The 12,116-nt window shown below is 53.6% G+C and overlaps 1 protein-coding gene across 3 annotated transcripts, besides 5 other annotated features; it reads left to right on the top strand.

Annotated features, from left to right (window-relative positions):
* Positions 711 to 1,100: a silencer, noted in NCBI's record as "silent region_19844". NCBI's record gives its function as "represses an Ori minimal core promoter by ATAC-STARR-seq in GM12878 lymphoblastoid cells {active_cell/tissue: GM12878}" and the evidence as "EXISTENCE:reporter gene assay evidence [ECO:0000049][PMID:35858748]".
* On the top strand, positions 1,075 to 11,307 carry MYORG (myogenesis regulating glycosidase). 3 transcript variants are annotated; one of them, XM_011517966.4, is made up of 2 exons: positions 1,075 to 1,180; positions 4,972 to 11,307. In XM_011517966.4, the coding sequence occupies exon 2, from the start codon at positions 5,030 to 5,032 to the stop codon at positions 7,172 to 7,174; it is 2,145 nt and encodes a 714-aa protein (XP_011516268.1). In that variant the 5' UTR covers positions 1,075 to 1,180; positions 4,972 to 5,029; the 3' UTR covers positions 7,175 to 11,307. The 3 variants fall into 3 exon arrangements, with proteins under 3 accessions (XP_011516268.1, NP_065753.2, XP_016870419.1); NM_020702.5 differs by having other exon boundaries at positions 4,967 to 11,307; XM_017014930.3 differs by having other exon boundaries at positions 1,075 to 1,916.
* Positions 1,146 to 1,726: an enhancer, noted in NCBI's record as "H3K4me1 hESC enhancer chr9:34376245-34376825 (GRCh37/hg19 assembly coordinates)". NCBI's record gives its function as "activates a minimal SCP1, AML or CMV promoter by ChIP-STARR-seq in primed H9 embryonic stem cells {active_cell/tissue: H9 hESC(primed)}" and the evidence as "EXISTENCE:reporter gene assay evidence [ECO:0000049][PMID:30033119]".
* Positions 1,727 to 2,308: an enhancer, noted in NCBI's record as "H3K4me1 hESC enhancer chr9:34375663-34376244 (GRCh37/hg19 assembly coordinates)". NCBI's record gives its function as "activates a minimal SCP1, AML or CMV promoter by ChIP-STARR-seq in primed H9 embryonic stem cells {active_cell/tissue: H9 hESC(primed)}" and the evidence as "EXISTENCE:reporter gene assay evidence [ECO:0000049][PMID:30033119]".
* Positions 5,144 to 5,644: an enhancer, noted in NCBI's record as "H3K4me1 hESC enhancer chr9:34372327-34372827 (GRCh37/hg19 assembly coordinates)". NCBI's record gives its function as "activates a minimal SCP1, AML or CMV promoter by ChIP-STARR-seq in naive and primed H9 embryonic stem cells {active_cell/tissue: H9 hESC(naive and primed)}" and the evidence as "EXISTENCE:reporter gene assay evidence [ECO:0000049][PMID:30033119]".
* Positions 5,645 to 6,145: an enhancer, noted in NCBI's record as "H3K4me1 hESC enhancer chr9:34371826-34372326 (GRCh37/hg19 assembly coordinates)". NCBI's record gives its function as "activates a minimal SCP1, AML or CMV promoter by ChIP-STARR-seq in primed H9 embryonic stem cells {active_cell/tissue: H9 hESC(primed)}" and the evidence as "EXISTENCE:reporter gene assay evidence [ECO:0000049][PMID:30033119]".
* Positions 11,308 to 12,116: the final 809 nt, after the last annotated feature.

The raw sequence follows: 12,116 nt of genomic DNA, 5'->3' as shown, positions 1-12,116 counted from the left end.
GGTGAAACTCTGTCTCTACTAAAAATACAAAATTAGCCAGGCGCGGTGGTGCGTGCCTGTAATCCCAGCTACTTGGGAGGCTGAGGCAGGAGAATTGCTTGAACCCGGGAGGCGGAGTTTGCAGTGAGCTGAGATCGTGCCATTGTACTCCAGCCTGGGCAACAAGAACGAAACTCAAAAATAAATAAATATAAAAATAAAATAAAATAAAAAAGAAATGAAACCTCAGAGTCTTGCCCAGCCCCCGGGGAGAGGGGCATGGCGGGGCACACCCACTTTCCCGCAGCTTGGGCATTTCTAACTAAAGGCTGTAACTTAGGAGGAGGGGCTGGACCCTATAAATAACTAGTCTGGGGGTAGCGGTCTGGGAGGCGGGTGACGTTGCAAAACACCGAGCAGAAACCGGTCTTCTCAGTCCCTGACCTCGGACACCGCTGGTTTGGTCCGGTGGGAACCGACAGCTTGGACTCGCGGCGGGTTGGAACTACAGCTCCCTCCGTGGGGCCCTCGATTGGAAGCACCTGCATTGGGAGCTGAGATACTCGCGGAATTCCGCCACCACTTTTCCGTATGGAAAGCTGAGGGCTTGTGAGAGCGTTATACCGATATGGCCTCCACCTGTCCAAACCGGGAAGGAAGGAATTCCAATGGCCAGCTCTGCTCCTTTACCCTGCAGCTCTCTCCCTCTCATCCTCATTCCAAACCTAGCCTAGAGGTGCAAGAACCCCAACCTTCCGCAGCTGCTCCTTTCTGCAGAACTACATGTCCCAGCAGGCCTGGGGCCGAGCCCCGCCCGCTTGCGGGTTAGCAGTGGCCCAGGAGGGGCGGGCCCGCCGGCGGGAGTCGGAGCCGCGGGGCGCAGGACTGAGCAAGCCTGAAATGCCAGGGGCAGAGCACAGAGCGGTGGGAGGAAGGTGGGGCTGAGGGGCGGGGCCACAGATCCGCCTGATAACCTGGGAGGAGGGGTCGAACGTCAAGGGCAGGGCTGGACTCTGAGGCCCGAGACGAGACTGGATGACTGGGGCGTGGCCGAGGAACCCCAGGGCGGGACCCGAGGAGGGGCTGTGCCCTGCCAGACAGAGCCCCGCGCGGCGCGGCGGCAGCTTCACTCTGGTTCAAGCGCAGGGGATCGGCGGGAAGCTCTTTCACCCCCGCTTCTGCCGGGCTGTAACTGCAATGGGTGAGCCCAGCGGGAGGGCTGTGGGGGGCGGGGGGCTGCTGAAGGAGCACGATTCCTGAACTTTCGCTCCCACCGATGAATGGGTGGAGCGAGCCTGAACACCTGGGCCCATCCCACGGCCGCGATTCCCGCGGGGCGACAGGTCCCTTGACCTCGGTCGGCCCCTTCGGACAGTATAGCCTTCAGGGCGGGGTAGGGAGGGCGGCTGTGGAGTATTCCAGGCTATGTAGGCAGTCACTCGATCCCCGCGGATACCGTCGCCTGGCAGGAGAGGGAGATGGGCCGGATCGAGTTGCCTTTGACATTTCCATCCCCCCGGGAACTGTGTCCAACTAACGATTCTACTTGGAATGGCCTCCCCTCAGTTGAGTCGGGCGGGGCCCTCCCCCTCAGACCAGACTAGCTGTGGCAGCCAAGGCTGAGGTTGAGTGTCCGGTGGGGAGAGGCTCAGCAGGGGCAGAGCCCAGACTCCACCTGGCGGAGGCGGCAGATTACAGAGGTCTCTGGCACCACTGTTAACACCGGAACCACAGACTTCCTCCCCCAAAGCCCCGGTACCAGATGCCATTAAAATTGCCCTCTTTGCTGCCCTCGTGGTCTTCGTGGTCCGCGTGGAGCAAGCAGCAGCACCAGCCCTTGGAAAGACAGGCCTCACCATGCCATGTCCATCTGATGGAAGCTGGTCCCACCAGCTCAGCCCCAGGGCTCCTTTCTGCTACTGCATTCAGGCAGCCAGGTCAGATCATTATCTCCCATCTCCTAAAACTTACACTGTGGAGAGCTGGGCTGGGATTTTAGATCCAGGCAGCCTTGATACCTGGCTAACTTCAGACAAGTTCCTTTTTCTGTTTGGGCCACGTTTCCTCACCTGTAAAATGGACACTGCAGCTATGTCTGCTGTTCCACATTGTTGATAGAACTGGATGCTGTGGTGACATTTGGGACACTATCATGGTGCCTGGGGTGGGTGGGTGCCCAGGCCTGTGGGCTTCTGTCTTTCATCAAAGAACTTCAGATCCCAGAAAATTAAGATTCTCAAAACATAACTGTCGGAAAGGGCTTTTGAATCCACCTTGGTGGCCTCTTCCTGCCTCCAGGGCTCATGAGATAGGCTGACTTCATATGAAAGTTTTGAGGATGAGGAAGTCTCTCTCCTCTTCAGATACTGACCCTCTCTCTCCTTATTTCCTTGGTGCCCAGAATAGGGCTTTGGTTATCTTGAATGAATGAATATAAACTCACAGGTGTGATCTGAGCCACCTAAAGCCTTCTTTGGGTTCTGCTCAGCTTGAGGGCATCACCTAAAGGCCACTGGCTGCATTTTCCAGGAGGTGTTTTCTAAGCTGTATCTATATAGGAATGGGGAGGAAAGCTAAGTCATTGTAGACTGAGAGAAAGGGAATAAGAGTCTGTTCCAGACCAGCTAGGGCTGACAAGCTTAGGCAGCTGGGGGCAGAGGGCACTGAGAATGAGGCCCTGAGCTAGCACCGTGTGGGAAGTGCCTATGGGAGGAGCTGTGTATTGACATTTAGGATCAAATTCTGCTCCACACCTTGCATTCTTGCATGGGGGAGGTGAAAAACCTGAGTATTTCCGGCATCTCCTTGGAAGTCCCTGGGGACTTAGAGACAGACACTGGCATCTGGGAGGAGGCTAATTACTGTTTGCTAGTCTCCTTCTCTTCTTCCCCCGAGCTGGAGCAGTTGGGCAACCAACTGGCTGGCTGTGTGTATGCCCGTGTGTGCACCTGGGTGGTGCTATTTCTTTGTTGGACTCTGCTCTGAAGCCTGGGACAGGAACGGTCAGTGGCCTTGAGTGGCAGAGTAGGACACACCTCTTCCCCTGAGCCTGTGTTTCCCTGTAGTCATATCTGTATTTTTTTTTTTTTTTTGAGATAGGGTCTCACTTTGTCACCTAGGCTGGAGTGCAGTGGCACAATCTTGGCTCACTGCAGCCTTGACCTCCTGGGCTCAAGCGACCCTCCCACCTCAGCCCCCCAAGTAGCTGGGACTACAGGTGCACACCACCATGCCTGGCTAATTTTTTTTTTTTTTTGTATTTTTGGTAGAGACAGGGTTTCAACATGTTGCCCAGGCTGGTCTCAAACTCCTGAGCTCAAGAGATCTGCCCTCCTTGGCCTCCCAAAGTGCTAGGATTACAGGCATGAGCACCGTGCATGGCCTCATATCTGGATATTTAGCATATAGTGTGTCAGAGTTTATGTGTGTTAGTGGTAGTGGTGGGTGTCTGATCCCTGGAGAGCAGGTAGGTGGAGGAGGTGCGCTGGGCCAAGCTAGGTGGGTGAAATCTCCTGAAGCAGGTGGCCTAAAGGATTTAGGTTGGGGAAGGAACGAGCTTGGTAATCACAAGATAGGCTTGGCTGGAAATGGAATCAGAATGGTAGCTGAGAACACATCATGCCTGGAGCCTCCAGTGCAAAGCAAACACTTTTAAATTTCATCATGGAAGCAATGAGCAGCTCTCGAAGCTAGGGATAGATATGGTTTGATAAGTGCTTTAGAAAGATCACTATGGTTGCCGTGATCAGAAGGCACTGGTGAGAAAGAAGTTAGAGTCAGAGAGGCCTGTTGGGGGAAGCGTTTGGTAATACAGGGGAGAAGTGACAGTGCCCAAACTATGACAGAAACAGGACAGTGGGTGAAACAGAGCGAGGAAGTAGCTGGCCCACAGATGTGGTGCCAGGAGCAAAGCAGGAAGGCAGGCATGGAAATGGATTTGGTGATGGATGATGGCTGAGAGCAGGGTGAGTTTGAGGGCAAAGAGAAGCAGATGTGAGAAACAACTGGCCCCCCATGCCAGGCTCCTGCCCCAGGCCCTAATGTCTGAACCCAACTCTACCTCCCTCCAAACCAGGCCCTGGGACTAAGTCTGGCTTTGGGTGTCTTCTTCAATCTCCAGACTTCATCAGGCTTTTGACTCAGGATAAAAACACATCCCTGAGCTGTTCTCCCTTCCTCCCTCCTCTCCCCCTCTGGGGACAGGGAAGCTAGCCTACCGCCCTGTTAAAAGTCTCAAGGGGGACTGGGCGAGGTGGCTCACGCCTGTAATGCCAGCACTTCTGGAGGCTGAGGCAGGTGGATCACTTGAGGTCATGAGTTCGAAGCCAGCCTGACCAACATGGTGAAACCCTGTCTCTACCAAAAATACAAAAATTAGCTAGGTGTGGTGGTGTGCGCCTTTAATCCCAGCTACTCGGGAGGTTGAGGCAGGAGACCCGCTTGAACCCAAGAGGCAGAGATTGCAGTGAGCTGAGATCATGCCACTGCACTCCAGTCTGGGTGACAGAGAGAGACTCCATTTCAAAAAAAAAAGTCTCAAGGAGCTGGCTGGACAATACCCCCTCTCCCACCCTGACCATCCACACCTCTAGGAGAGCAGGACTTTTCTAGTTCCTTTCCCGTCTCTTCAGCCCGAACGGCCCCATGTGTGATCTGGGGAGGCCTGGCTTATCCTGTGATCCTGGAAAGCTTCCTGACCCTCTCAGGGTTTGTTTCTCCACTAGGAAAATGAGGATGGGTGCCATCTCCCAGTCACATGGGCCGCTCCCCAGTCACAGAGTCCTAATTTGGGCAAGCATTAGGTCCCATGAGAAAGGGTGGGTTAGGCACAGATTGTCCTGGTAAGGGTCTCACCTTTGCCACTCTTCAAGCCCTCAGGTTCCAGTATTCATCTTCCCAAAGTATACACCTCCTCTTAGCTTGCGGCAGCAAATGGAAATATCATGGGATGAGATAGCTCAGTTCCATCTCTGTCTCCTCCTTTCAGAGCAGGTTGAGATGAACTCAGTCAGATGGCCCCACGGCCCGCTCCTTTCTTAGCAGCCCACTAATGCTCCAGAACCCTCAGGAGAAGAGCCAGGCCTACCCCCGCCGCCGCCGGCCTGGCTGCTACGCATACCGTCAGAACCCCGAGGCCATCGCAGCCGCAGCTATGTACACCTTCCTGCCCGACAACTTCTCACCTGCCAAGCCCAAGCCTTCCAAAGACCTGAAGCCGCTGCTGGGCTCCGCGGTTCTGGGGCTGCTGCTTGTGCTGGCCGCGGTGGTGGCCTGGTGCTACTACAGCGTCTCCCTACGCAAGGCGGAGCGACTTCGCGCGGAGCTGCTGGACCTGAAAGCTGGCGGCTTCTCCATCCGCAATCAGAAGGGAGAGCAGGTCTTCCGCCTGGCCTTCCGCTCCGGCGCGCTGGACCTTGACTCCTGCAGCCGCGATGGCGCCCTGCTGGGCTGCTCGCTCACGGCCGACGGGCTGCCGCTGCACTTCTTCATCCAGACTGTGCGGCCCAAGGACACGGTCATGTGCTACCGCGTGCGCTGGGAGGAGGCAGCGCCGGGCCGGGCCGTGGAGCACGCCATGTTCTTGGGCGACGCGGCGGCCCACTGGTATGGTGGCGCCGAGATGAGGACGCAACACTGGCCCATCCGCCTGGATGGCCAGCAGGAGCCCCAGCCGTTCGTCACCAGCGATGTCTACTCCTCCGACGCCGCGTTTGGGGGCATCCTCGAGCGCTACTGGCTATCTTCGCGCGCGGCCGCCATCAAAGTCAATGACTCAGTGCCCTTCCACCTGGGCTGGAACAGCACGGAGCGCTCGCTGCGGCTTCAGGCGCGCTACCACGACACGCCCTACAAGCCACCCGCCGGCCGCGCCGCAGCGCCAGAGCTGAGCTACCGAGTGTGCGTGGGCTCAGACGTCACCTCCATCCACAAGTACATGGTGCGTCGCTACTTCAACAAGCCGTCAAGGGTGCCAGCACCCGAGGCCTTCCGAGACCCCATTTGGTCCACATGGGCGCTGTACGGGCGCGCCGTGGACCAGGACAAGGTGCTGCGTTTTGCCCAACAGATCCGCCTGCACCACTTCAACAGCAGCCACCTGGAAATCGACGACATGTACACACCTGCTTATGGCGACTTCGACTTCGATGAGGTCAAATTCCCCAACGCCAGCGACATGTTCCGCCGCCTGCGCGACGCCGGCTTCCGCGTCACGCTCTGGGTGCACCCTTTTGTCAACTACAACTCGTCGCGCTTCGGCGAGGGCGTGGAGCGCGAGCTGTTCGTGCGCGAACCCACGGGCCGGTTACCTGCGCTGGTGCGCTGGTGGAACGGCATCGGCGCGGTGCTAGACTTCACGCACCCAAAGGCCCGCGACTGGTTCCAGGGACACCTGCGGCGGCTGCGCTCTCGCTACTCCGTGGCTTCCTTCAAGTTCGACGCGGGCGAGGTCAGCTACCTGCCGCGGGACTTCAGCACCTACCGGCCGCTGCCGGACCCCAGCGTCTGGAGCCGGCGCTACACTGAGATGGCGCTGCCCTTCTTCTCGCTGGCGGAGGTGCGCGTAGGCTACCAGTCACAGAACATCTCCTGCTTCTTCCGCCTGGTGGATCGCGACTCTGTGTGGGGCTACGACCTGGGGTTGCGCTCACTCATCCCCGCGGTGCTCACCGTCAGCATGCTGGGCTACCCATTCATCCTACCCGATATGGTGGGCGGCAACGCCGTGCCCCAGCGGACAGCCGGCGGCGATGTGCCCGAGCGCGAGCTCTACATTCGCTGGCTGGAAGTGGCCGCCTTTATGCCGGCCATGCAGTTCTCTATCCCGCCCTGGCGCTACGACGCGGAAGTGGTGGCCATCGCGCAGAAGTTCGCCGCCCTGCGGGCCTCGCTTGTGGCACCGCTGTTGCTTGAGCTGGCGGGCGAGGTCACCGACACGGGTGACCCTATCGTGCGCCCCCTTTGGTGGATTGCGCCCGGCGACGAGACAGCTCACCGTATCGACTCGCAGTTCCTTATTGGGGACACGCTGCTTGTGGCCCCGGTGCTGGAGCCAGGCAAGCAGGAGCGCGACGTCTATTTGCCCGCCGGCAAGTGGCGCAGCTACAAGGGTGAGCTTTTCGACAAGACGCCGGTGCTGCTCACCGATTACCCGGTCGACCTGGATGAGATCGCCTACTTTACCTGGGCGTCCTGACCCAGCCCAGGGCCCGGTAACCGCAAAGCCCCCAGTCTTCATGCAGACCTTGAACCCTCCGTCACACCCGCACCATGTACTCCCAGGAACCTCCCACCTCTATACCACCCATTAAGTGGCTGCTGACTTAAATGTGCTGGAACCAGCTGCTGAAGGTGGGGCCTAGGGAGGGGGCACTGAAGCAATCTCCTGCTCCAACGCACAATCCTTACTGTGCCCTTTCCACCCCCACACTCACACCAATCTGCAGAAACCTCTTCCCTGGGGTGGAAGCCAGAGAGCTTAGAGGAAAAAGGTCAGCTCTCTTCCTGTTATACATGGTTATACATGGTTGGGGTTTAAAAGCACAAAGAGAAACCTCCCCCTCCTGGCTTTCGTGGCCATCTTTGTCCATCTTAGGTGGGGACTTGATCTTATTTAAGGTCTCCAAATAGCCCCCACCACACTTAGAACGTGTGTTTTCTTAGTGTTAGAAGCCAGGCCCTGAGTCCCCAGCACTCACCTGAACTGTGGCTGATTTGGTCCCAGTCCAGCTGGGGAGGTGTTTGGCTGACAAGGAGGCAAGAGATCCCCTCCCAGGGAACAGGAGGACTGGGCTTAGCACAGAGCCATCATCATGTTCCCAATTTGTGAAGAGACTCCTAACACTGCACTAACCCATTTGTGTACATACATGGGCTCAGCCCTGGGCCAAATGTGCCTGATGGGAACAGACTTGCAGGGCCATGCAGGCCAGACTTCGTGCCTTAACTGAAGAGTGTGCGTGTGTGTGTGTGAGAGAGAGAGAGAGAGAGAAACACGCATCATGGGTCCCTGATCTATGAAATGAACACAACCTCTCTGAGGCTGGATGATCTGGAGGAAGGGGGCATGGAGCAAATTTGAGGCTCTGATTGCTGAGCCAGCCTCCTCCCAGGCGGTTTCCCCAGGACTCTCGTAGGAAATAAATAGCCCTTTCAAGATTCCTCAGCTGCCTCACCCCCTGCACATGTGCCTGGGGTGTGGCCTAGAAGGGAGTGATGTTCTTACTCTGGTGGTCTGTGCTTCTGAACACAGGCTACATGCACACACTGACAACTACCAATAAACAGACAGGGGAAGGTCTTTCATCTCAGCCATTTTCTCTTCCCCCCGCCCCCCCTTAGATGGAGTCTTGCTCTGTCACCCAGGTTGGAGTGCAGTGGCACAATCAGCTCACTGCAACCCCTCCTCCTAGGTTCAAGCGATTGAGTAGCTGAGATTACAGGCATGCATCACTATGCCTGGCTTTTTGTATTTTTTAGTAGAGATGGGGTTTACCATGTTGGCCAGGCTAGTCTCAAACTCCTGACCTAGTGATGCACCCACCTTGGCCTCCCAAAGTGTTGGGATTACAGGCATGAGCCACCACGCCAGCCATTTTCTCTTTCTAAGAAGAGCAACCTCAGCCGGAGTGAGTTTTTTCTGACTTTGCAGCTGAGTCTGGAGAAAAGTGGCATGCCAGAGCGGGTCGGTGGGAAACAGGGTGAACTTTAGCTTCCATCAACAGCTCTGGTAGCAAAACCAGTCCCCTACCCCCTAGAGAATGCATCCGTTTCCCCACCTGATATGGTTTGGCTGTGTCCCCACCTAAAACTCATCTTGAATTGTAGCTCCCATAATTGCCATGTGTTGTGGGAAGGACCCAGTGGGAGATAATTGAAATATGGGGGCAGTTTCCGCCATACTGTTCTGGTGATAGTGAATAGATCTCATGAGAGCTGATGATTTTATAAGAGGTTTCCCCTTTTGCTTAGTTCTCATTCTCTCTTGCCTGCCGCCATGTAAGACGTGCCTTTCTGTCATGCTTGTGAGGCCTCCCCAGCCACGTGGAGCTGTGAGTTCATTAAACCTCTTTTTCTTTATAAATTACCCAGTCTTGGTTATGTCTTTATCAGCACTGTGAAAATGAACCTATACAGTAAATTGGTACCAGTAGAGTGGGGCGCTGCTGTAAATACCCAAAAATGTGGAAGCAACTTTGGAACTGGGTAACAGGCAGAGGTTGGAACAGTTTGGAGGGATCAGAAGACAGGAAAATGTGGGAAAGTTTGGGACTTCCTAGAGACTTGTTAAATGGCTTTGACCAAAATGCTGATAATGATTGGGACATGAAATCCAGGCTGAGTTGGTCTCAGATAGCGATGAGGAACTTGTTTGGTACTGGAGTAAAGGTGACTCTTGCTATATTTTAGCAAAGAGACTGGCTGCATTTTGCCCCTGCCCTAGAGATTTGTGGAACTTTGAACTCGAGGGAGATGATTTAGGGTATCTGGCAGAAGAAATTTCTAAGCAGCAAAGCATTCATGAGGTGACTTGGGTGCTGTTAAAAGCATTCAGTTTTAAAAGGGAAACAGACTATAAAAGTTTGGAAAATTTGCAGCCTGATGATGAGATAGAAAAGAAAAACCCATTTTCTGAGGATAAATTCAAGCCCCCTGCAGAAATTTGCATAAGTAACAAGGAGCCAAATGTTAATCACTAAGACATGGGGAAAATGTCTGCAGGGCATGTCAGAGACCTTTGCAGCAGTGCCTCCCATCACAGGCCTGGAGGCCTAGGAGGGAAAAAATGGTTTTGTGGGCCAGGCCCAAGGTCCCCTTGCTGTGTGCAGCCCAGGGACTTGGTACCATGCATCCCAGCTGCTCTAGTCATGGCTAAAAGGGGCCAAGATACAGCTCAGGCCTTGGCTTCAGAGGGTGCAAGCCCCAAGTCTTGGCATCTTCCACGTAGTGTTGAGCCTGCAGGTGCACAGAAGTCAAGAACTGAGGTTTGGGAACCTCTGCCTAGATTTCAGAGAATGTATGGAAATGCATGTATGTCCAGGCAGAAGTTTGCTACAGGAGTGAGGCCCTCATGGAGAACCTCTGTTAAGGCAATGTGGAAGGGGAAGCCCCCACACAGAGACCCCACTGGGACACTGCCTAGTAGAGCTGTCAGAAGAAGGCCACCGTCCTCCAGACATCAGAATGGTATATCCACTGACAGCTTGCACCATGCACCTGGAAAAGCCACAGACACTCAACGCCAGCCTGTAAAAGCAACCGAGAAGTAGGCTGTACCCTGCAATGCCATAGGGGTGGAGCTGCCCAAGACCATGGGAACCCACCTCCTGCATCAGTGTGACCTGGATGTGAGACATGGAGTCAAAGGAGACCATTTTGGAGCTTTAAGATTTAACTGCCCTGCTGGATTTCAGACTTGCATGGGGCCTTTAGCCACTTCGTTTTGGCCAACTTCTCCCACTTGAAATGGGTGTATTTAGCCAATGCCTGTACCTCCGTTGTATCTAGGAAGTAACTAACTAGCCTTTGATTTTACAGGCTCATAGGTGGAAGGGACTTGCCTTGTTTCAGATGAGACTTTGGAGTATGGACTTTTGAGTTAATGCTGAAATGAGTTAAGACTTTGGGGGACTGTTGGGAAGGCATGATTGATTTTTAAATGAGAGGACATGAGATTTGGGAGGGGCCAGGGAGAGAATGATATGGTTTGGCTGTGTCCCCATCCAAATATCACCTTAAATTGTAGCTCCCATAATTGTGGGAGGGACCTGGTGGGAGATAATTGAATCATAGGGGCAGTTTCTCCCATACTGTTCTGGTGGTAGTGAATAAGTCTCACGAGATCTGATGGTTTAATAAGGGGTTTCCCCTTTTGCTTGGCTCTCATTCTCTCTTGTCTGCTGCCATGTAAGATGTGCCTTTTGCCTTCCACCATGATTGTGAGGCCTCCCAGCCACATGGAACTGTGAGTTCATTAAACCTCTTTTTCTTCATAAATTACCCAGTCTCGGGTATGTCTTTATCAGCAGTGTGAAAACAGACTAATACACCACTCCTCTACCTTCTTTATTTTCTCAGTGTGGAAAATGCCTGATGAAAGCTTTGGGGCCCTCACAGATGCACAACTCAAGTGCTGATTCTATCACTTATCTACCAGCTCTGTGACCTTGAACAAGCCGCTTAACCTTGCTAAGCCTCTGTTTTCTCATATGTCAAATGGTGATAATAATGCCTACCTCCCGAGGTTGTTGTAAGAATTATAAGCACAAATGTATGTAAAGTGCCTGGCACAAAGTAGGTGCTCAATAAATGGTAGCTATTATAATACTATTTCTTGTTTTATTGATTAAAAACAAGGATCCTTCTAGAACCCAGCTCTCAGCCTGGATGGCTTTCTCTGGGCCTGCTGTGACACCCCCTCCCCCGTCCTCTGTACATAGCACCAGTTGAACTCTGAGTTTGTGACCCAAGGGACACTGTAGTCCAGGAGAAAGGCAAAAAGAGAGATACCTCAAGGTGGGATGTCAGGAGCCAGGATTCCTGGGTCCCTGGGAGATGGAAAGTGAATATAGTTTCTCTCCTTTTCATCAAGTGTCTACCATCTACCAACTGATACTCACTGATAAGCCTCCCCAGGCCCTGGTGTCCAGCCATGTGCTCTAGAGTAAGTGTAGAAGGAGAACCCCAGGCTGGGCCCTGGAAAGTTCCTTAAATGGCTGGAGAACATGACCCACATTTGAATGGTTCTCCAGCTTTCTATGCAACCTGAAACCAGTTTTACCTAACCTTGGTTTCTTCATCTTTAAAATGGAATTTCTAGGATTCACTGAGATGTGTATAAAACCCTATGCAGGGGGAGTGGGGAGGAATAGCATTAGGAGATATACCTAATGTAAATGACGGGTTAACGGGTGCAGCACACCAACATGGCACATGTATACATATGTAACAAACCTGCACGTTGTGCACATGTACCCTATAACTTAAAGTATAATAAATTAAGAAAAAAAAAGAGGAAAAAAATAAATAAAACACACAAAAATTGGCAAAGAGTAAGTGCTCAATAAATGGTAACTCCTATGAACTATTATAAACAAGGAACAAAGAGAGAAAAGCCTTGGCTAGAACCTGTATTGTCC

The sequence above is a fragment of the Homo sapiens genome, chromosome 9, assembly GCF_000001405.40.
Source record: "Homo sapiens chromosome 9, GRCh38.p14 Primary Assembly".
Classification (NCBI taxonomy): Eukaryota; Metazoa; Chordata; class Mammalia; order Primates; family Hominidae; genus Homo; species Homo sapiens.
This window is presented reverse-complemented; position numbering and strand designations above follow the sequence as displayed.

Excerpts from the sequence above, each read along its gene's own strand:
- MYORG (XM_011517966.4), top strand. The coding sequence starts at position 5,030 with ATGCTCCAGAACCCTCAGGAGAAGAGCCAGGCCTACCCCCGCCGCCGC.